We start from the raw sequence: 24,225 nt of genomic DNA, 5'->3' as shown, positions 1-24,225 counted from the left end.
TTTAAATTTAAAAAAAAAGTTATCAAAATGTTTTTAAAAAAGAAATAAAGGATTTCCAGAACCTCACATGAGTAAAGAATGTGGTCTCTTTATCTTGAACTTACAACTTTATATAGGAAACCAGGTTTAGAATATCAATCAATCAATATTTAAAACCACTATGTAAAATGCAGTTTACTTTTTCCTGATTCTGTAAAGCAGTATAAGAGGTGCTATCATCAAGGAGATAAAACAATCAATCATCTAACATATTTTGATATACATTTCCTTGTCTAGGAATACAACATAGTATAAGAGGCACCACCCAAAACATTAAAATGAAATATAACAGCTAAATGAATGACAGGGGGAGGAAAAAGAAAAGCCAACTTACCAGTTTGGTGGATAGTTAGAATGTTTAGGGACGAAATAAAATACTTGGCCAGAGCTTTAAAGAAATGTAAGAGTAAGCGTTAGATAAAAGAATAAAAATTGAGTATTTCATGCATGAGAAATAATATGCACAAAGATGACAATACACATATAAAGTTTGGGGGAATCTGAGTAAAGCAATTTAACTAAAGCAAATTTGCTGAAACAAATCAGTAAGGTTAGAGTGGTGATACACAACAGAGTCTTGCCAAGACCAGTCACTCTGGCTTCTGTGTAAAAGACTAAGACAGTAGATGTTAAAGGTTGAAATAGCTATTTGAAAATGAATGAACTAGTCCCAGTGAAGGTCCTGAAGGGTGGATAAAAGTTGCTACATTGTGAGAAAAACTGTTAACACAGAAGGGGCTGATCTAGGGTAAGGACAATGCAGAATACACTGGGAGGATGAAAAGCTAAGATTTTTTTTTTCTTTTTTTTGGTCCAAAAAAGGAAAACAATCTTAGGGACATATGATTATAAACAAAAAAAGAAAAAGGAAATGGGAGAATAATAACTTCAAATGTCACAGGAAAAATATCTAACAATATGCTCTATATGTGTTCAGGATTAGGCCTCAATTTACTCCAATCACTGTATGATAGGCACTGCAATCCAACGCAACATTTAATTAGGCATGAAATATCCAATTTATACATCTAATAGGAAGACACACAGTCTTGCACATTTGAAGAAACTTCAAGTGCTCAGAAATTATCCACTGTATTAGCCTTTTGCTTCTTCTGTCTTCTTTCATGCTACTTGCCTTTTGACAAGTTCACTTCTGGATAGCACTTCTACCAAAAATGTTCTGAAACAGAGAGAGTGAAGGGTGGGACAGAAAAAAATGAAACAAAAATTCAAATCTACAGGAGCAATTCCATGCGTCTGTAACACAGGAATAAACAGGGGACCTTGTCATGATTTATCTTCAGGCAATATTTTGGTATAACTACATATAATGTAATAACACATTATACACCATTAAATACTAAAACAATACAAAAAACCTACAATTATAAATTTCAACAAGAAATAACATAACTATAATGACATATACCCAAAACAAACCCAGGAAAACAGTGTTTCTTAATTTGCTCAGAAATCTCTATGAAGCTGAAATTAACTGTCTGAGAAACAACTGAAAGTAGAGTTCTTGATAGTAAAGACAATACATTTCAGTCTTGACCCTTCATATTGGTCACACCATTGTCCCTTGATCTCAAATAGTTTTTTGAAATTAGGCTTTTTTTGTTATGTTTTTCATACTCAAAGATCTGAAACATCTTATTAAAATTTCTTAATTTTTTCTATTTAACATTTTCTCAATATGTCTAAAAGAGAGCAAAGGATTGATAAAAATTTTACATTCACAATGCAATTTTAAAAATCTTATGTTCTCATTTGTTTTAAATTCTCAACTTAGCAGTCTCCACACTGTTATCCTGCTCTTTTCCCCTGGAAACCTAAAAAGAACCCTGAGATATTAAAATTATAAATAAATCTCTTATTTAGAGAATTTCTTGAATGTTTATCACTTAGATTCGTTATTTTTCTTACTTGACTCTCCTAGATATTTCTTATAAGAAGGTTGGAATGAATCATTTTGCTAAAATTAATTCCTTTGTTATGTAAAGGATTAAACCTCTCCATATTTAAAACAAGAGAAAACAAACAATGTTCCTTTGGTAAGTATAATCAAGTTTCTTAAAATACTGGCTATAAGATTTTAGAACAGGCTTATCTCATTTAGTATTGGAGATATGTTCTCATGAATAGGAGCACTAACCGAATAGGTGCTTTTCAGTCATAATTTCCAGGCATAGTATATATTATGTATGATCAACATATAATATTCAATTAGAAGTTACCACCTGATGCCTTTATCTCCTTGCCTTCTTTAGAACTTGTCTAATAGTGTATTTTTCTAGGCCTAGAACATGACCCACCCAGACCTACCTGATGTTTACCCACCTAAAATCTGCATTTTTAATAGCCAGGCATACTTTAATTTCAAAGTAACTCCTTGTTTGATTATGCAGGCTATTTTCTATGAAGCAGACTATAATCAGAAAACAGTGTCAGTGGTAAAAACATCTCCATAGAATAAAGAAAACAAATCTATTGGTAATTGCCACTCAAACTGGTCAGAGCAGCATGGTAAAAAACTCACGGGCAAAAAAAAAAAAAAAAAACCCCACAGAGCTCACTGTAGTGTTTGACATGTCACCTCTAACAAAGATAGTAAATAACACTTTATTAACTTGGAAAAAATGCTTTGACTCAATGTGCTTAGAAATTCCTATTTGACAATAATCTACTGAGGAAAAACGCTATCATTTGGGTGAAGTGTTAACCTGTAGTAGTTATACATACACACAGTACTCTTTAATTTTGTCAGGCAGTAATGTGCTGTATTAGTTATGTTTTATGACTTAATTCTCAGTTGTGTTAGTAAAGATGCTTACTACTTATAAGAAGTATTAATAATAAGTGCTTGGTAAAAATTATAGAGCTTTGTTCAGTTCTAGCTAGAGACAAACTTAAGACTACAGATGGTGTTAAAGAAAGCACAACTCTTACAAAATAGCTCTAAAATAGAGTTGCTTTCTGATTTTCCATATTCATTTTAAGTTTTAGTTATCAAATTTGATAAAGCAATTGGCCATTGAGTCATAGTTTTCACTAGTTTGAGCCAACCCCAAAATTAAAATCTGGGAAACAATCTAATATCAAAATATTAAATTCTTAAATATCTCTCCAAAAAAAGGTTTGGAAACTGTCAAGCACTACCAAGATTATCTTACACAGAATCAAAGTACTAATTAAATGAGGAGGTTCTCTTGAATGTCACAACACAACATTCCTTTTAACACAGTATCACCCCACTATTAATGCAATTTTCAAATACAATGTATCTTAAATATTAAATTTATGAAAATTTCAAAGTAACAGACTTCCTTATAGATGAGATACACAATAACAATTTTGATATTCCTTTAAGCTGTTTAAAAGTGATGCTAACTATATCTTTAAAAAAGTCTATTTAACGTAAAAGATTTTGGATAAAAACCAGTAAGTTTCTTAATGATCCTGAACCAGGTAATAAAATGTTGAGGATGCTGAAGAAGGTTAAATCCAGGTAAGCTTCAAGAACAGAAGTCATCCATCTTTAAATATTAGACATTTGCTGGCCAGAAGGCGAAAGTAAGACTTCAGGATATATTGTGGGTCCTTGCAGTTCACATTCTAGTATGTTGGCACAAAATAAAGATAGGTCCCAAAACCTATGGGTATTTTCAAGTTTAGTGTTTTAGAAATATATAATCCTTGAACCAACCACAAAATAATGTATGGCTTATATTTACTTTGTCAGTTTAAGTAATAGAAAAAATGCCTATTTGTTCTGTGGTGACTATTCATTGTGGTGACAGTTTCATTTTCCTCTTCACATTTTCGGTGACCGTTCTCCATTCGTATCATCAACCAGGTCTCTCAGGCGAGATAAATGGTGCAAAGCCCTTCATTAAAAAGTATAAAACACATTATAAACCAGTTATTAAGAACTGAATAGCCAATGCAGACAGCAAAAAAATAAATAAAGTTGACTATTAACTTCAAAATTGGTATGAGAAGTAAATTTATATAAACTTTGAGACTTATTCCTTATAAAACCTTGAGATCTGAATAATTGAGGGTTAAAATAATTTATCTAAAGTTCTATAAACATTTACTTTAAAAATTATATTTTTTGACATTAACTTTTTTTAAGATAGTCTGCCAAGTGCCCTAACAAGAAACAATAGGTATCAGTTGTATCACACTTAACAAGAACACTTTTTTCAAGTAATTTTCACTACAGCTCTGTGAAATGACACCTTTGCTTTTGGTATCCTGTGTATATTAGTTAAGAAGTAAAATACAGAAATTATTTTTAACATTTACATTCAAGATAGCTATTTTTTAAATAGCATTTAAGGATTAGTTACAGATCTGAACAAAACTCATTTTTATTGATCATAGGGGAAGCTGCCAACTACTCCAATAAGTCTATATAATGTGTTGTTATACCAACAACCTAGATTTTTCTCTGAAATAATGCCAAGATTGTATTGCAGGTCTCAGTGGAGAAAACTCAATCATTCCTCAAACCAGGAAAAGAGGCCCTTAACTTTCCAAGCCTTCTCTAATTTATATTTTTCCAGTTTTTCTCTCCCCTATATTTCAGTTCCTGGAGGACCACTCAGAAAACATCAATTAGTCATATTTCAGATCTTTAATAAATAAGAAGGATATTAAGGAAAAACAGAGTGACAATATAGTAATTAAGATGTGCAGGAAGGGCCGGAAGCAGTGGCTCACGCCTGTAATCCATGCACTTTGGGAGACTGGGATGGGCATATCACCTGATGATATGACCACCTGAGGTCAGGAGTTCGAGACCAGCCCGGCCAACATGGTGAAACCCCATCTTTATTAAAAATACAACAGAAAATTAGCCAGGCGTGGTGACTGGCATCTGTCATCCCAGCTACTCAGGAGGCTGAGGCAGGAGAATCGCTTGCCAGGAGGTGGAGACTGCAGTGACCCATGATCGCGCCACTGCACTCCAGCCTCCAGCCTGGGCAACAAAAGCGAAACTCTATCTCAAAAAAACAAAATTAAATTTAAAAAAAAAACATAAGCTGTGTAATAACCTCCAATGTTAGTAATTTCCATTTATGGTGAGCAGAAAGGTAATGACTACAACACTCTATTCTATAGTCTCTAACACACAGTAGTTGTTCAATAAATGTATAATAAACTGCATCTTCCACTTTACCCAGGACAAGGAGATGGAAGGAAACTAGTAGCATTATTTACTGCATGTATATCTATTTCCCTGTACTATACACTTCTTGGATACTTTTACTCAAATGTAATAAGAAGACTCTCAATTCTCTCACCTTTTTTGGCAACTTCAGTTAATTTCTGAGATTCCCACCTTCATTGACTAAGTGACAATAATTCACCCAAAGTTACTAACCAATCAGAGGTAAAATAACTAAAATTTTAAAATATTCAGCTGGGCGTGGTGGCCAGTACTGTAATCCAGCACTTTGGGAGGCCGAGGTGGGTGGATCACCTGAGGTCAGGAGTTCAAGACCAGCCTGGCCAACATGGCAAAACCCCGTCTCTACTAAAAATACAAAAATTAGCCAGGCATGGTGGCACGTGCCTGTAATCCCAGCACTTTGGAAGGCCGAGGCAGGTGGATCACCTGAGGTCAGGAGTTTGAGACAAGCCTGGCCAACATGGCGAAACCCCATCTCTACTAAAAATACAAAAATTAGCCGGGCATGGTGGCATGCACCTGTAATCCCAGCTCCAATGAGTCTTCCTAGAGAACACATATTTCTAATTGAAGAATATAAGAAAACTGAGTATTTAAGGGACTAGACAAGGCCAGACTACTAGCTTACAGTTCCCTATGGCTAATGAAATATATCTTAAAACTGGATAGCCATCCAAATTATTAAAAACAAAAACTGTTATTTGAGGAATGTAAAGAGCCATAATAGGATTTTACCTTAGGAAAGGCCAATAAAGCCTACAAAGTATAATCAGTAACTTTTGAAATATTTTGGAAATATTTTGTAAATTTTGAAATACATTTGAAATATTTGAAGTATGAAAAGATGACCATATACCTAACCAGAATATTTTGCCGCCTGGAAAAAGGAATTCTGAGATGTAATTAAATTTAAATTGTCCTTAAAACAGTTAATCTACAGACTGAAAATAACTTTTGTAAGTCTAAGCTTACTTCATTACAGTACAAACGTCTTACTGATAATACTTTAGAAATGTAAAGACAAATTAAGACTGCTCCAGTTAATACAACAGAATTAATAACTAAAGGCCATCTAACAAAACATAAAACTTACTCTCTCTAAAAATGAAACTCCATATACAGGTAAGACTATTGATTGCTTATAGTAGAAAAAAAGTTACTATTAAAAAAATTCTAGCAAATGGTAAAAGCACTTATAGATCAGTATCGATTTTTGTGGTGATTAAATGACTTACAATCCACTGTTAGTTTTCACCAGGAAAAACATCTAGGATATGTACATTAACTCAGAAAACACATATAGGTCTGTGACAAGTGCAGTATAATGCTTTAAAGAGCAATGGAAAACTTATGGTCATTCACCTCAAATTTTAAAGCAGAATGAAGTCTTCATACTAGATGATCAACTGAGGCCCTGTTCTTAGTCTCAATGAATAATTCATCACTATCATTAGTGAGAGTAGTGTTAAAAATACAGACTTTCAAATCACACTACCTGATCTGAATCCCGCTTCTTTTACTAGCTATGGCAAGTTACTTTACTACTCCATGCCTATTCTCCGATCTGTATTATGAAAATAATAATAGTACTTACTTCATAAGGTTGTGAAGATCACATGAATTATATTCAATAGCACTTAGAATACTGAAATTTGGTAAACATTCAATGTTAGCTATTACTATCATTATTCACTGAATTCTATTAGGTATGAAACATTATACCCCAGTACTATGGCAAGCTACAAACAAAGGTGCATTATTTATACCCTAAAGATAATAAATTAAGTAGAGAGAAAAAAGTAATCATACATGATACATTTTAACTATGAAAACTATATACACATTTGTGACAATTAGATTCGTAAGTTTACATGTCTAGTGTTTTATTTTCCACCAGTTCCTTAGATCACAGAAGCCTAAGCAAATTCTCAAAGTACAAAAGGTAGCCAAGTGAAATGGTGTGACTAGAGTAGAAACTTTTAATCTCAGTATTTCCTAAGTTCAGTATTCCATCTTCTGAGGACACTTCATAGTCACACAACAAACTCCAAAATAAATACCCTTCTCTTCTGTCAATATCATGACTATAGAAACAACTTGTATTTTTCTCCATTTTATTATTTAAGACACTGTAACTAAGAAAATTAGACCTATCTTTATATCCAGGTCATTATATCTACTTTAGATTTCTGTAATGATGTTCCAAATCACGATCCATTTATTATTAAATTTATTCTAGAGAGAATATATGAAAACACATTTCATACAAGTTACTGTTATAGGATACTCACAAAAATACTATCATAAATTGTTGCTATTACTACTCAAAAATGAGTCATATCCATTATATTTTAGAGGTCTAAGGCTATCTCATTAGGTCCTTAGAACACTTTGAATAGGAAAAAGCACAAGTTTAAAAGAAAACAATGTTTTTTAGTGTAAACAGTGTGCTCCAAGAAGCTTAAATATGCCTAGTAGTGCTACTCTTAAAACTACTTACTTCTACCCTGTAACTTTACATATGTCAAAGAAATGGCTAAGATGGATTTGTATCCATATTAGTAAAGAATACTTACTTCTGAAGTGACCTAGTAATAGGAATCATACTTTCCTTCAACTGTAATTTAGAGAAATCATCTTCTGAAACCTATTATTAAAAACACCAAATATAACAAAATATTAAAATTATATAACTACAAAATTAAATGGTATTGAAAATGTGATTAAAACATTAAAAAATATTTTCTACATTTCCAAACAATTCTAATTTTCAAGAGTATTAAATATTTTTATTTTCCATTTACTGTAAAAACACTACAACTAACAGCCATTTTTCAACTGTCCTAAAGTATACTTCTACACATATGTCCATTAAAAATCAAGTCTTCGCTTAAAATTATGACTTTATTGAACAGGCTTATATCTCAATGATGTTTAGAATGAGAGGGGAAAGAAAGATAGATTACATTCTACATATTAATGTTATGATTATTAGAATGTAAGGACAGAAATTAAGAAATACAACTCAAATGAGCAGACTATGAAGGTTCTCAAAAGCTGATCCACTCACTTGTAATGAAAACTCAATTTCACAGATCTACTGAATAACAATAAAACAATGAGCCATCATTTATTGAGCACTTACCATGTACCAAGCACTATACTAAGTACTTTATATAGTTTGTCTCAATTTGTCTTCTCAACAACCTCACTATACAGAAAAGGAAATTGATAAATGAAATAAGCCCAGCACAGAAAGACAGACACTGAATAATAATCTCACTTATATGTAGAATCTGGATGTGGGGACGGGAGTTGCAGAGATGTTTTTCAAAGGATACAACATTTTAGTTAGGCGAGAAGAATAAGGTCAAGAGATCTATTGTACAACATGGTGACTAAAATTAAAAACAACATATCGTATACTTGAAAATTACTAATGGAGCAGGTTTTACATGTTCTCCACAAAAAGTATGTGAGGTAATTAGCTCCCTTAGCCATTTCATGATGTTTCAAAACATCATGTTGTACACCCAAAATATATATATATTGTCAATTAAAAATCAATAATTTTTTAAATAGGAAACTGAAACTAAAGAGGTTAAATGATTTGCACAAATATTGCACTTGCTAGTAAGTGACAGAATTCACAATCATATTTGGGAAAATATAAACTCTATGTTCTTAAACACTATACTTTTGTGGGAAAAAATTCATCATATAGAATGGCAGCCTAAAACAGAAACAGATTTTCAAATTCCCGGGAAATACACAAATTGAAAAAATAAAATGGCTCTAAAATAAAACTTGATATAACTGTATTCATAACAGCCAATGAACACACAGTAACAAAATTAAATTTCAAAGGAGAAAGGTGTGTGAAGGAATCTAATGTTGAAAAAGTTTTCTAGGCCTCCTCGAATATAACTACCAGAAGATGGGCCACATAGATTAATTTTGTAGAGGATTACAAAACTCTTACAACCCTTTGATACTATAGTTGTAACACCATCATAACTAAATAAGATGTTGGATTTATAACCATAATAGAACAATCTGTTTAGAGATAAACACCTACAGAAATCAAACAGAATTAAACGTGAGTACATTACTTCCTAACAAAAAAAAACTACTGCCACTTACAACATGTGTAATGTGGCATGCTTACTAACATAAAACTATAAGTAGGTCTATTAAAAGATGTAGAAAAAAATCTTTATACAAATTCACAAATCTCAATTCATAAATCATGTTTGTGCTTACTTGTTTAATCTCTTCTTTTGGATCTGTGGTCTTATTTTGATTAAAACGTTCTTGTACTGCTTGAAGGTTAAATAACATTTGTTTCAGGGCTTCAACAGGACCATGATGTTTGCCTCCAGAGAGAGTACAGCTCTAAGGTTAAAACAGATGATAGTATAAAGTTAACCATCCAAGCTCAGGGAAAGAAGAGTTTTATTTTGTATTAATTTCCCCAATAGAAAATTAATGTAAAACTCCAAACAATGTATGTCAATAAAGTATTTTAAAAAATCAAAATTGTAACTCACCACTTCCCCATCCCCAGGCCCCAGGTGAAGTTACTTAAAGACAATCATGATTAACAGTTTGGCATATCCTTTCTAGTCATTGCTGTTTTGAAATAAATAGTGCACGTTTATATTTATGACAAATTAATTTCGCACATTTAAAATCACAAATTGTAAATGAAATGAAAGGTCTTCAGAGGACAGGTAAACCAACATGTTCTTTACAGCTGATCAAGGACTAAAATTTCAAATACAGTATTCTCTGCACACTTTAAAATATGTTTTTATAACAGAATGCTAGCTTTTCACCTCTTCATGGGCCATACATTCCTTCTACCTAAATAACACTCATAGCTCGATTACCCCTGGACTTATTTGTGTTCAAAGAACGCAGCAGTACTTAAGACACATAAGATGGTCAGGATTCTTTTAAGATAATCGGTGAGGGATATTTTAAAATTTCTTTTTAAAAGTCTTACCAGTCTATTATTTTACATCTTTCAAATGAGTTTCTGTGTCCTAACAGCTATCTACCAAGTAACAAATAGGACTGTACAGATGTCTGTAATTTAATATATTTCAGCATAGACTGTGCACCATAAGTACTACTTAAACTTCAATTCTATAGAAAGTTGTTGATTAGCATAATATACTCAAGGTAAGCAGTATGGTTAAAAAGATTTTAAAGACACTTCCACAGTTATAGAACAGGATATAAGAAATGGAGCGGAAAGGTAAAATGCTATAGCCATTGTAGAAAACAGTATAGGAATTCCACAAGAAATTAAACATAGAATTACTGAATGATCCTGCAATTTCCCTCTTAGGTATATATCCAAAAGAAGTGAAAACAGGGACTTGGGTAGATATTTGTATACCCATGTTCACAACAAAATTATTCACAACAGCCAAAAGATGCAGATAACCCAAGAGTCCAACAACAGATGAATGAATAAACAAAATGTGGTACATACATACAATGGAAAACTGTTCAATCTAAAAAGAAAAGGAAATTTTGACAAATGCTACAACATAGATGATCCTTAAAGACATTATGCTAACCAAAATAAGCCAGTCACAACAAGATACACATATGATTCTTCTTACACGAGGTTCCTATAGTAACAAGTCCATAGGGACAGAAAGTAAAAAGCTACTTACCAGGGACTAGGGAGAGGGGGAAATAGGGAGTTAGAGTTTAATGAGTACAAAGTTTCAGTGTGAGAAGATAAAGTTCTGGTGATGGACGATGGTGATAGCTACACACAATGTGAAGGTACTTAATGCCACAGAACTGTACACTTAAAAATGATTAAAATGGTAAATTTTATGTTATGTATATTTTAACACAACAATATAAGAAACATTTTAAAAAGAAAAAAAAAAAAACAGGGTAAAAGGATCCAGTTAGGATATACTCCTACACCCTGGGAGATAGCATCTGAGGCATAATCTCCAAATGATCTGCATCCAGCCACTATCTTATTTTAGAACTTCGGCTGCCTTATGCCAACCATAATAGTTACAAAAGGCTGCCTCTGGAATTTATGTCTGAGCTAAGTGACTTTTCATGCAAAGCAGTGGTCAGAGTATCAAAAGAAGACAGAAAACTAGAAAACATATGAACTGTTTGTGCCAATGTTAATGAATGTTTTAAAAATATTGTATGGATAATACAATTTGTTCTGAGACTTGTCATTGAAACCTGCTAGTAAATGTCTCCGGGTACATCTCTGTATATCTTTGACTCTTAGAACCATAGTGACATTTCATATATTCAAAAAACAAATTATTTAAACCAAACAGAACAAGAGGACAACCCAATATATAGTCATCGCTGTTTTCTTGGGAGACTGTTTCCAGGACACTTTGTGAATATAAAAGTTCAAGGAAGTTCAAGTACCTGATTATAAAATGGCACAGTATTTGCATATAACCTATGCATATCTTCCTGTAGACTTTAAATCATCTCTAGATTACTGATAATAAATACTACAATGTCAACAGTATGTAAATACTTGCACATTGTGTTTTAAACTTTTTTTTTTTTTTTTTGAGACAGAGTCTCGCTCTGTTGCCCAGGCTGGAGTGCAATGGCGCAATCTTGGCTCACTGCAAGCTCCGCCTCCTGGGTTCACATCATTCTCCTGCCTCAGCCTCCAAAGTAGCTGGGACTAAAGGCGCCCGCCACCAGAACCGGCTCATTTTTTATATTTTTTAGTAGAGACAGGGTTTCACCGTGTTAGCCAGGATGGTCTCGATCTCCTGACCTCGTGATCCGCTCGCCTCGGCCTCCCAAAGTGTTAAATTATGTTTTATTATTGTATTGTTATGTTTATTATTCTTCTCCAGATTTTCAATTTGCAGTTGGTTGAATCTACAGATGTGGAACCCACACATCAGAGGGCCAACTGTATACAAAGACAAATGAACCAACTAGCAGTATTATAAATAAACAGCACAACCACACCAAAGAGAGTTGGGAAGAAAATAACCTAAGTAACTCTGGAAAACAGTATTTTGTTATGATATTATAAGGCTAAAGACGAAAAGAGCAATATTCAGCTGGGCATGGTGGCTCATGCCTGTAATCCCAACATTTTCGGAGGTTGAGGCGGGTGGATCACTTGAGGTCAGGAGTTCAAGACCAGCCTGGCCAATATGGTGAAACCCTGCCTCTACTAAAAATACAAAAATTAGCCGGGTGTAGTGGTGGGTGCCTGTAATCCCAGCTACCTGGGAGGCTAATGCAGGAAAACTGCTTGAACCTGGGAGGCAAAGTTGCAGTGAGTAGAGATTGTGCCACTGCGCTCCAGCCTGGGAGACAGAGTAAGACTGTCTCCAAAAAAAAAAAAAAAAAAAAAAGCAATATACAAATAATGTAATCTAGTTAGTACATTTGTTAATTACAGGAATATGGGTTAGCAATTCTAAAACCACTTTGCATGTATAATAAGACTGAACAAACAAGTAAATTTACTGTAGATAATGAAAGGATTATCATGGGGAGAAAGTTACAAATAGGGAATGGGAAAAGCTAAAACAAACTGCAGTATTAGACTGGAATCAGAGGTATCAATACTCATGATTTTATACATATATGTGTTTATTTATATGTAAACACATATACACATATATGTACACAGATAAACAGATAAAGAAATGTACATATGTGAGTATATGTGGGTTGGCAAACTTGTTTCCTAGGTCTTCCTGCTGACATAGTTTAGAATGAACAACACCCTAGTAGCACTCAGCACAACTAATGCCTAGATCCTAGTTTCTAAGTGCCATTTTCCAATACAAAGAACCATGGCTCCTCAAAGAAATGCTCAAAAAAGAATGCAGACATATAAAAAGGCACAGGAGCCAACATGAAGGAACTCCTAATGGCCTAACCTGAAACAATTTGAACAGCAGCGTAACTAATTATACTGCATTCTAAACCAAGAATAAAATAAATTAGTGAATCTGTACTAATATAATTTGCTAAACAAATATAAAGATAGTTTTTCATTATACAAGGTTTTCAGTTAATAAATATAGAAAAAAAGATAGGATTCACAAATGGATACTAAAATTAGTAGACAAAAGTTTGAGGAGAAACAGGATATCTGCAAAGTCTCAAAGTGCTTTATAATATATTTAATAATTACAAGGAAAATCGGTATCTTTAGTAAGGATAAAGATCACCTTAACCAAGTGTTCAAAGTTAATACAACCAGTTTTTACATATTATATCTTTATTATATATTACTATTACTGCATTAACTTATCAATATATTAATGATATCAATATATAATGAGCCCTCTGAGATAATGCAGTAAGAAGAGCACATCACTTCTTCAGTATTTTTGCCAAAAATGCATAACCTCATTCTAATCATGAGAAAACTTCAGACAAATCCAAACAGAAAACCTCTACAAAATAAGTGACTGATCCTAAAGACCTGCAGATGATCTGGCAAACAAAGAATTCAAAATAGCTGTTCTAAGAAAACACAGCAAACATCAACAAAACACACAGAAAATAATTCAGAAAGATGCCAAGATACCAACAAACAAACACAAGAAATATGAAAAACCAAGAAAATATGACACCACCAAAGGAATATAATAACTCTAGTAACAGACTCCAATGAAAAGGAAATCAGCAAATGGGTGGAAAAAGAATTCAAAATCATGTTTTTTTAAAAAAACTCAATGATACAAAAAAACACAGACAGATAATTTGACCAAATCAGGAAAACAATTCACAATATGAGCAACAAAGTCAACAAACAGAAATCATAAAAAAAGAACCAAACAGAAAATACACAGTGAAGAATTCGATGAATGGAATTTTAAAATACAATAGAGAGCTTAATAGACTTCATCAAATAGACAAAAGAATCTCCGAACTTGAGGATAAGTCATTTGAAATTACCCAGTCAGAGAAGGAAAAAGAGTAAAGAAAGCCTACAAGACTTAAGGATACTATAAAATGAACAAATGTTATTATCATGGGAATTCCACAAGGAGAAGAGAAGGCAAAAGGCACAGAAAACCTAATGAAATCATAGCTGAAAATTTCCCACGTCTGGGAATACATATGACATCCAAATCCAGTAAGCTCAATGGCCCCCAGTAGATTTAAGCCAAAAACATCCTCCCAGAGGCACACTATGGTTACACTGCAAAGGCAATTCTAAAAACAGCAAGAGAAAACCATGAAGTCACATATAAGGAATTCCCATTAGACTGACAGTAGATATCTCTGCAGAAACCTTAAAGGCCAGGAGAGGATGGATGATACATTCAAAGGGCTGAAAAGAAAAATCGCAAGCCAAGATACTATATGGAGCAAAGCTTTCCTTCAGAAATGAAAGAAATAAACTCTTTCTTACATAACCAAGACCAACAGAATTCACCACTACTAGACCTGCCTTACAAGAAATGCTCAGGGGAATCCTACATCTGGAAGCAAAAAGATAAGCACCATCATGAAAACACATGGAAATATAAAACTTACTGGTAGAGCAGATACACAAAGGAAAAGAATAAAACATTACTACAGAAAACTACCAAACCATAATGATAATATGAGGGGAAAAAAGGAAGAAAGAACATATAAAATGACCAGAGTACAGTAAACAAAATGACAGGAATACGTCCTCACTTATCAATATTAACCTTGAACGTGAACAAACTGAATTCCCCACTTAAAATTTGAGATGGACTTCCAGAATGGATAAAAATAACATTGTCCAACTATATGTTGCCTACAAGAAACTCCATTCACCTTTAAAGATACACATAAAGTGAATGAATGGAGAAAGATATTCCACACAAGTGGTAACCAAAAGGAAGTAGGAGTAGCTTTACTTATACGAGACAAATCAGACTAAGTCAACAACTGTAGAAAGAGACAAAGAAGGTCATTATTATGGTTTAAGATTTCACATTACAACTTACCCTTAAGAAATAATCACTTGTGGAATATAAATTAGTATTATCAATTATGGACTTTTTTTTTATTAAACACTCAAGCAATCCTCCAACCTTGGCCACCCAAAGTGTTAGTATTACAGGTATAAGCCACCACACACAGCCAGACACAGTAAAACAGTATGAAGATTCCTCAAAAAATTAAATATATAATAGAACTACCATATGATCCAGCAATCTGACTACTGGGTATATATCCAAAGGAAATGAAATCAATATGCCAAAGAAATATCTGCACAACCATGTTTACTGATGTTTACTGCAGCATTATTCACAATAGTCAAGATATAGACTCAACCTAAGTATCCATCAACAGATAGAAGGGTAAAGAAAATGTGACATATATAGACAACAGAATATTGTTCAGCCTTCAAAAAGAAAGAAATCCTGTCATTTGTGACAAAATGTATGACTCTGGAAGACATTATGTTAGGTAAAATAAGCTAGGAGCAGAAAGATAAATATCATAGTTCTCACTTATATGGGAAAGCTTACTAGCTGATCTCATAGAAATAGAGAGTAGAATAGTGGTTACCGGAGACTGGGAAAGGTAGGAGGGAGGTAAGGAATAAGGAGAGATTGGTTTAAGGATAAAAAAATTACAGCTAGATAGAAAAAATAAGTCCTAGTGTTCTAAAGCAGTATCAGCTGACTATAACTAACAATAAATTATTATATATTTCCAAATACCTTAAAGAGAGGATTTTGAATGTTCCCAACACAAAGAAATGATAAATATTTGAGATGATGGTATGCAAATCACCCTGATTTGATCACTGTATATTCACAGTGTATCCCATCACCATGTATCCCATAGATATGTATGATTATTATGTGTTAATTTAAAAATTTAAAATATTATAAAAAATAATATAATCAATAATTCTGGAAGGAATGATGGGTATTTGAGAGGAGAAGATTTGAGTCTTTTTTGCTTTAAATTATCTAAGTAACTTAAAAATTAGTATCTACATATTATTCATATATCTTTAAATAAGTTTTAAAACTTTTAATTTCACCCACCTGATTATCATTATTTAGAAAGTCTTCAAGAACCCCTTTAGCACTCTTTGCCCTTGAAGTTTGTTGAGGACTATCATCAGAGTTAACGGGAACAGGAGATTTGCTAAACAGGATTTAAAGGATGCAAGATAGCAATTAAGTTCCCAATTTCTAAAAAGTAAACAGTATATAATTTAAGAATTCTCATTTAAATACAAGTAGTCACCAAGAAATAATCATCATGGATATGATTCATATTAATGTTGTATGGTAATTCCCTTATCTTCTCCCTAAACTGATACCAGAATCCAACCCCTTCTTATCTCCCTGCTTCTGTCTTCAAGCTTTAAGAAAACACTATGAAGAAACTGAAGATATTAACATTCAGCTAAACAAGGCCTGAACTACAGACTGTGCTCCAAAAGCTCACCTTGTTTGAAATAAACAGTACATTTTTCCAATTAAACATTGTTACCATCTAATAATCAACAACCCCATAAACTCTTAAAAGTTTTTACTAGAATGGCAGTTAAATGTTCTCCTACTTGAAGGCAACAGAACAGACTTCCCCTTTATAACTGGTATTAACATAAAGAACAGATTATTCTGGGAAGAGAATTCTGAAATTTAACATTCCTGCATGCAATCTCAGTCCCACTCACTATATGACCTTAAGTAATTTATCTGAATTTCAGTTTCAACATTTGTAGTCCCATCTATCTCACAGACATATTGCATAAACTGAATTAATTTTCTATGTACCTAGTACATTTAATAAATACCCATTTCTTTCCTGATATTCACGGGGTAGTAGAAGAAAGGGTATCCCCACCAAAAATAAGAATGCTCCGAGAATCAAATTCTATTAATCACAAAAATGAATTCAACCTATTTCTCTCTTATTCTTACAACACTATGAGGTATGTTTGTAACTCAAGAACTCAGATATCTAAGAATCTTTTTTTAACATTTACAGAATGCTGATGTTTTTTCTTAATAAGCATGCTTCTTTATTGACATATTTGATTTCTAATTCACAAGCTCTTTCATACTATCAGGTAGTCCTTTCCCCTATTCTTTGCTAACACTTTGTAGAGCCACCCATCTGTTATTAAAAAACATTTACCAGATTGTTGAAGAGTACACAGAGGTTCATTATGCTATTCTACTTTCGTAATTTATTTGAGCTTTTCCATAATAAAAAGTTTCTTTAAAAAAGCAATGATCTGATTGTGGTTTTGCTCTACCACTTAAAATACTACCTTGAGTACTTCCTATTCAATTTTGTTTTTGATGACAGGTTGATAATAATTTGTCAATCTCAAACTGAGATCTATTCCTTCTCAGCAATTCACCCTTAGTTTTATCTACAAACATTCCCTTCACAATATAAATTCAGTCTTCCAAAAATGAATTACTATATGCAAGGTACTGAGCCAAACTATTGATAATATTAATTATACAAGCTAGAAGTTACATTATCAAATAATAAAATACATTAAGTGCATTCAATAATTTTAAGCACCTCTGATACTACTTGCTTGCCCATTTTGGTTCCAATTAAAATCAAAGTATTGCAGCTATGATACTTTATTAATACACAGAACAAGTGATAAAATAAGCAACTAGGACACAAGAAGGATAAGAGAAGTTAAGCATTACGTGAACTCATTATCAAATCAAGTTTAAAAAAAATATGTATATATATCTCAACATATATATATGAAATATATAAGGAGAAATGAAGCTAAAAGAAGAAAATAAAATATTCTAGATAATCATCATCACTACTAAAATTTCTAAGAGAGCTCATCCTAGGTCAGAAACTTCATTTTCATTTTCTAGTCAAATTAATCCTCACAATAACCCTGAAGCAGACGTTATTTCTCCATCTTTAAAGTTTAGAGAAGTCAAGTAAATTGTACAAGGCAATACAGCAAGAAAATGGCAGACGTAGGCTTCTAAACTGGAATTATAGTCAATGCCTACATTCTGAAAAGAGACAATCAACTGAGAATAAAAAACAAAAAGAATCCAGGAACTAATAGACTCTGTCTATAACAGAATGAAAGTTTAGACAACTAAAGATAATAAATTATCAAAGCCTAAGGCATGATATGGGGTTAGCAATAATGCATTTCTGATAATAGAAAATGTACCATCATTTAAGGAAAACAACAACTAAAAGGGAAAGTAAAAAGTAAATGATAAGAAATTTGTAACTTCAGGCCGGGCACGGTGGCTCAAGCCTGTAATCCCAGCACTTTGGGAGGCAGAGGCGGGCGGATCACGAGGTCAGGAGTTAGAGACCAGCCTGGCCAACATGGTGAAACCCCGTCTCTACTAAAAATACAAAAATTAGCTGGGCATGGTGGTGCAGGCCTGTAATCCCACCTACTGGGGAGGCTGAGGCAGGAGAATGGCTTGAACCCAGGAGGCGGAGGTTGCAGTGAGCCCAGATGGTGCCACTGCACTCCAGCCTGGGTGACAGAGCAAGACTCCATCTCAAAAAAAAGAAAAGAAAAGAAAAAGAAATGTACAACTCCATTATATGGAGAGACTATAGAGGAACAGAGGAAAAGCTTTAAGTCAGAAGAAAATAACAAGAATTTCATAACACTACTCTGCAAAATAATTGTTTCTGGTTCTAATCCCTCATATTAAGATGCTTATCAATATTTTATAATGAAACAAAATGAGTACGTAACAAAGACAGATGTTATATAAAGTACCTAAGATTATGAACCATTATACCATCTTGTGGTAATAAATGAAAAATGCAATTTAAAGCAAGTAACACAAAGCTATGTTCTATGGAGTTACAATATTATTAATTACCGTTCGTTTAAATATAAATCAGATATTCGCATGACATTTTTCATTTGGAAAACTAAACAGTTTTTCCATTGCCACTTACTTACAAAGTAACAGGAATATTTTCCCATGATCTGTCTGCTTCAAGTTTATCTAATGAGCAAGGACTGTCATCCTTTTTCATGGACTTTGGTAATTCTTCAGTACACTGCTCTAGATTTCTCTTGGCCTTCAAGATAAGCAATTCAATTTTGTCACCTAATTGTAAAAGATGACTATTAATCCTTGAAGAAAAAAATTAATGTAAAGCATAGCAAAATCTCACAAAGTCAACAAGAGTTCTGATCATTTGGAATGTACATTCATCTATAACAGCAAATTATGTTAAAATGTGACATTTCAAGCAAAGAAAAAAATGGGAGAAAAGACATTTTCTAGTTACAAAATGCTGTATGTGAAGATTATAAGCATTCCAAAAAGATGTATTACATGAAAACAAAACATAAAAGCTCCCAGATATCACATCAACTTTACAGCACTTCTTTTGGTTTAAAAAAAAGAAAAATAAATAACTATAAGCAATAAACAAAGTATTACCACTGAATGGCTTTGTGGATTGTCCTGGGAGAAGTGGATTCTCACATTGACACTGGCTATGTTCAAAATCACATTTGTATTCATTAACTAATTCTTTATCATCACTCAAGGAATTTGAAAAGTTTGAGGGTTCAAAAGCATATTCAAAACAATCTAATTTATTGATAAGCCGAGAAGTTCCTTGTGCCTGATGACTATGTCTAGGGGAACACTGATCATCTTTAAATATCTGATAAACCCTTTGACTATTTGCATCAGGTAGCAAGTCTTGATTGTGCAGCCAGACTGGGTATTTGAAATCAGGTATACTAGTTATCCCTGAAACATTAAGGTCAGATTTCTGGCTAGTGAGCCATCTTGGGTAATTCTTTTCAAGACTGTGTTCTGAACTGTCCTTGAAAGACGATTTCTTGGGAAAAGACAAAGATGATTCAGAAATGCAATTATTAGTCCTATTCATAAGTTTTGGGTTTTTCAGCCTACCACATTGCTTTCCATTTATATTTGAGCGTATAACAGGAGTAACAAAGTTATCCTTGCCCATGGAAGTGTAGGGTCCTTGAAAATGTGGATTCTTCTCAATGTCCAATGAACCCAGTCTTCCACGGCATTTCTTGTTTTTCTTGCTCGTTCGGTGACTCGGTCCAACATAAGTATAAGAAAATGATCCATCTGCTGGGAGTCTTAATAGATCATCAGTTGTTAGGCTCATGGAGTCTATGTCATTAACGGTGTGTCTTCTACAGGATATGAAGTTTGAGTGCTTTTTGTGATCAAGGTTTTCAAAAGCTGAAAAACGAAGAACAGTTTTGTTTATTACATACAAATATTTTATAATATCCAACAGTAAATGAGAATTAAGAATTTAAGAGGCATTTTGCTGCTTTCCCCTTATCCTCACTAAAGCTTTGATTAAAAGCATAAAAAGGTGTAGGTGGATAAAACAGGATGTGCTTTTTTTCTCACGATTCTTCGTTCTGTGTTAATTTCTACGTTTCTCTCCAACCTCCTGAATTTTCCTGTGTTCTCTAATTTACTGTTCCTTCAACTTTCATCATCTAGACATATCTGATACACTAATACAATCACAGTAACATTGGTCACTCAATATTGGTTGCAGCATAGAAAAAAATATGCTATTAAACTAGGTGGAAAAATAACTTGTTTTCTCACCTACAAACCCTTCAATGGCATGGATTATACATAGAGAACAGCTGTTCTCATTCTTTGCTTCCGGAATATATTGACCACATCCCTCCAAGAACTGAATACAAACTTTTTCTATTCTAGGGTCATTCTGCAAGTGTTAAGTAAAGTAGTAATTGACTTATCAACAACTGCATTTTCCAAACTTGTCTTCAAGGAAGCTTTATTATGGACAAACTCTTAACATCTTGTGAATATTACTGTTCCACAGAGAATTATATAATCATTTTACAAAAACACCCAGATCTCAATATTATGTTATTTTTACTCCAAAGTAACAAAAATAATGTCAAACTTTACAATACTACAGTACATCTCCCAAATGCTTCAAAACATCTGAACACAAAGAAAACAAAGAATAAAAGCATACCATTGTTTGGTTTGTAAATATAGTTGCAGAACTGTGACATATTAGTAAAATCCTCATCAATGTTAATTTTTCCAGTGCTTGCACCAGGATATATTTGGCCTAGATCAAAATCATCAATATAAGCCTGTAGAGCTTGAGAAGCAGATCTGTACAGCTTATCTTTATAGTGAAACGAGCCATCAGAATTAGAGGAATTACTACCACTCAGGGTGCAGCTTGCCAGCAGGGCAGATACTGAAGATTCCTGAGAACAAAGTCTATGTTTTGTCTTTGATTTCGCCATGGCTTCTTCAAAGTGGATTGTTTCTATTCATTTCCCTTAAAAACAACTGTAATACAAAAACGAAATGTTAAGATGCCAATTAAAAGTGACCATACACAAACAAAATTACTAAATATGTAAACCTTTTGTAATTTTCTTTAAATAATAAAATCCATTATCTATAACAGACACTCCTTGTTAGGAATTGTAGATTTTTGTTATATTTATTATTGTGAATTCCTTCATCAATGATTTAGAAAACATTTTTTGAGTACCTACTATGTGGCTGGAAGTATGTATACAAAAATTATCTGAGAATATACATGGAAAATACCAAGGAGAGAGTACTCACTTCTTAAAAAGTCCTAAAAACTACTTATGAACCTCTTTTCTCTTATGGTGATATATTCTATGACATCACAATACCTAATATTCCCCTATACATCATATTTTTCAAATCATAAGCCTACTACCATGTGCTGCAGATAATAGCGCTCAATAAATTTTTTAAAGCCATCAAATGAAGTATTCAAAACAAGAACAATGGAGAATATTCACTTTCAATGTTATAAATGCTAGTACATTTACAACATTTAACTGTAAATAAACTGCAGGTCTTATTCTGGAATGAGTTAGCAATATACACTTTTCCTAAAATAGTTAATCATTTCCTGACCTTCGTTTTTGGTACCACCCTCCCTATTTTCAATTCTTATGTTAAATGGATTCAGCTCACCTCTTTCAAAGGAAGCTTAAATAATGTGAAAATCAACTCAATGTGTTCTTCTGTTTTTCCATTATTAAAATTGAGAGAATCCCTGTCTACCTCAGTACAGTAACAGGATGTATATTTGAAAACCTAAGAAATCACAGAACGAACCGGCACTAATTCAGTCCATGATGACATTCTTTTTAAAATTAAATGAATGGATTTCCTATACTAAAAAAGTATTAATGTTGAGGACTTAACATATGCTATGATGTTATAATGTTTAATTTTTGGCTATAATTTTAGAAATATTTGTTATAACAACTTTTAATGTAATCTTAGTAACTATTAAATTTGGCTTTAAAACATCGAAAGTTTTCTAATTAAATAAGAGACAAAGTAAAACATCATCCTACCACAGCGTTAGAGCATGCAATGGCCATTACAAGAGATCTGACCGTGGTCAGTGCAAATGGCAGAACATAAGGTAACAGTTGTTTCGTCTCATTGATTTATCTGAATTCTGTAATACTGGTATATCTCTGACGAATGGCTAAACTAAGCCAGCTTTACCTTTTTCGTATCCCTTTTATTTAAAGAAGTTTAAACTCACTCAAGTAAATTTGTTTGGATAAGCCTGACCAAATGTTTTCTGTCTTTGAATGCCGAACAGGCTACTGATTTTATTTTACAAAACCTTGAAAGAGAAAGCTGTTGTATTGGTCTCCGTAAGTGGGTGATAACATTTACTAGTTATTTCAACTCACAGGACAGACAAAAAGAAAATGCACAATTTAAGTTTCATTATGAAAAGTTTTCCAACTTTTCCCCAAAAGAGTATACAAAAGTAGAATCGTTCAATAAACCCCTATGTACTCATCATCCTGCTTCCAACAATCGCTGAACAGACCCCAATTGTAGCTAAAGTGGGTAGGGACCCACCCACTTCTCCCCACTTCAGCCACAGGATTATTTTGAACCCCACATATCTCATGCAAATCCCATATATCTTACCATTTCCTCCGTACAGGCTTCAGTTCGAATCTCCAAAAGAAAATCCATCACGCGGAAGAACAGAATGTTAAACTTATTGACAACAAATTTTAACTAACTTTGATTCAAAAACAGAATGTTCAGTGTTAAATAGCCAATGGGAATATCGCACAGGAAATTAAGAACAACTCTTGGAAATAGCTCTGTGACTGCTAAGTTAGGAAAGGGAACGTTTGTTTACTCGGCAGCAGAAAACCAGGAACCCACCGACCGGCCAGCGAAGGTCGCCCGTCTCCAGCAGTGCGCATCGTTCCCCTACCCCGGGCGCCCTGAATTCCAATTTTTCCAGTCCCAATCAGGCGACACCCTCCCTTTGGTGTTCCACCGCCCGTCAGTCACAGACACAGACAAGTTCTTCAGTGAGATGCTTTTCACTCCGAAACCATTTATTCAGCAGCCAGGGCGAGCGCAGCAATGGACTGAAGGAGAAGTGTTCCGAAGCGACAGCCCCAGAGCGCAAGCCCCTTCCTGTCGCCGCCTCAGGTCCGCAGACGCCCGTGTGAGCCCCCTCCGCCGCGTCCCGCGACCCTCCCTCGCCCAGGGGGCACTCCCCCTACAGTGTTCTTCCTTCCACAGAGACTCCACAAGCGCCCTCCCTCAGGAGACGTCTCCTCCTCTTTCCTCGCCACTCTCCTTTCGCCTTTTCTCGGCTGTCACAGGATGGGACAACCCTCGAAAAGACACCCTCCTTTCCGTCCTAACTCACCCCTAAGGCCCCAAAATAAAAATAAAGGAAAACAAAAACAAAAACCGCACACTTCCACAGCTCTCCGCCGAAAGCTCAGGCCTGTTACCCAACGCGAGACACCACAAAGCATCCCCAACCCGGACACCGCCCCGCCTCAGGCTCGGCTCACTCGCAGCTTCCTCCGCAGTCACAGCAGAGCTCGACACCCGCGCTCGCTTTCAAACCGCCCCAACATGGCGCCGGCCTGCGGTGCGCATGCGCGGCAG

General features: G+C 34.0%; 1 protein-coding gene across 10 annotated transcripts, besides 2 other annotated features; it reads right to left on the bottom strand.

The window, feature by feature from the left end:
- Positions 1-67: 67 nt before the first annotated feature.
- C18orf54 (chromosome 18 open reading frame 54) lies at positions 68-24,197 on the bottom strand. 10 transcript variants are annotated; one of them, XR_001753148.2, is made up of 9 exons: positions 23,233-24,197; positions 21,248-21,576; positions 19,672-20,460; positions 19,182-19,332; positions 16,282-16,384; positions 9,506-9,637; positions 7,819-7,889; positions 3,777-3,929; positions 69-427 (listed from the first exon to the last, which is right to left on the bottom strand). XR_001753148.2 is itself a non-coding variant. In NM_001288980.2 (9 exons), the coding sequence occupies exons 3-9, from the start codon at positions 21,528-21,530 to the stop codon at positions 3,857-3,859; spliced, it is 1,602 nt and encodes a 533-aa protein (NP_001275909.1). In that variant the 5' UTR covers positions 21,531-21,576; positions 23,233-23,329; positions 24,028-24,197; the 3' UTR covers positions 69-3,856. The 10 variants fall into 10 exon arrangements, 8 of the variants coding, with proteins under 8 accessions (XP_016881056.1, XP_024306861.1, NP_001275909.1 ...); NM_001288980.2 differs by having other exon boundaries at positions 69-3,929; positions 23,233-23,329; positions 24,028-24,197; NM_001288981.2 differs by having other exon boundaries at positions 69-3,929; positions 23,233-23,262; positions 24,129-24,197.
- Positions 23,182-23,693: an enhancer, noted in NCBI's record as "H3K27ac hESC enhancer chr18:51884780-51885291 (GRCh37/hg19 assembly coordinates)". NCBI's record gives its function as "activates a minimal SCP1, AML or CMV promoter by ChIP-STARR-seq in naive H9 embryonic stem cells {active_cell/tissue: H9 hESC(naive)}" and the evidence as "EXISTENCE:reporter gene assay evidence [ECO:0000049][PMID:30033119]".
- Positions 23,611-23,680: an enhancer, noted in NCBI's record as "active region_13349". NCBI's record gives its function as "activates an Ori minimal core promoter by ATAC-STARR-seq in GM12878 lymphoblastoid cells {active_cell/tissue: GM12878}" and the evidence as "EXISTENCE:reporter gene assay evidence [ECO:0000049][PMID:35858748]".
- Positions 24,198-24,225: the final 28 nt, after the last annotated feature.

The sequence above is a fragment of the Homo sapiens genome, chromosome 18, assembly GCF_000001405.40.
Source record: "Homo sapiens chromosome 18, GRCh38.p14 Primary Assembly".
Lineage (NCBI taxonomy): Eukaryota > Metazoa > Chordata > Mammalia > Primates > Hominidae > Homo > Homo sapiens.
The sequence above is the reverse complement of the archived record's forward strand: the minus strand, read 5'-3'. Positions and strand labels throughout refer to the sequence as shown.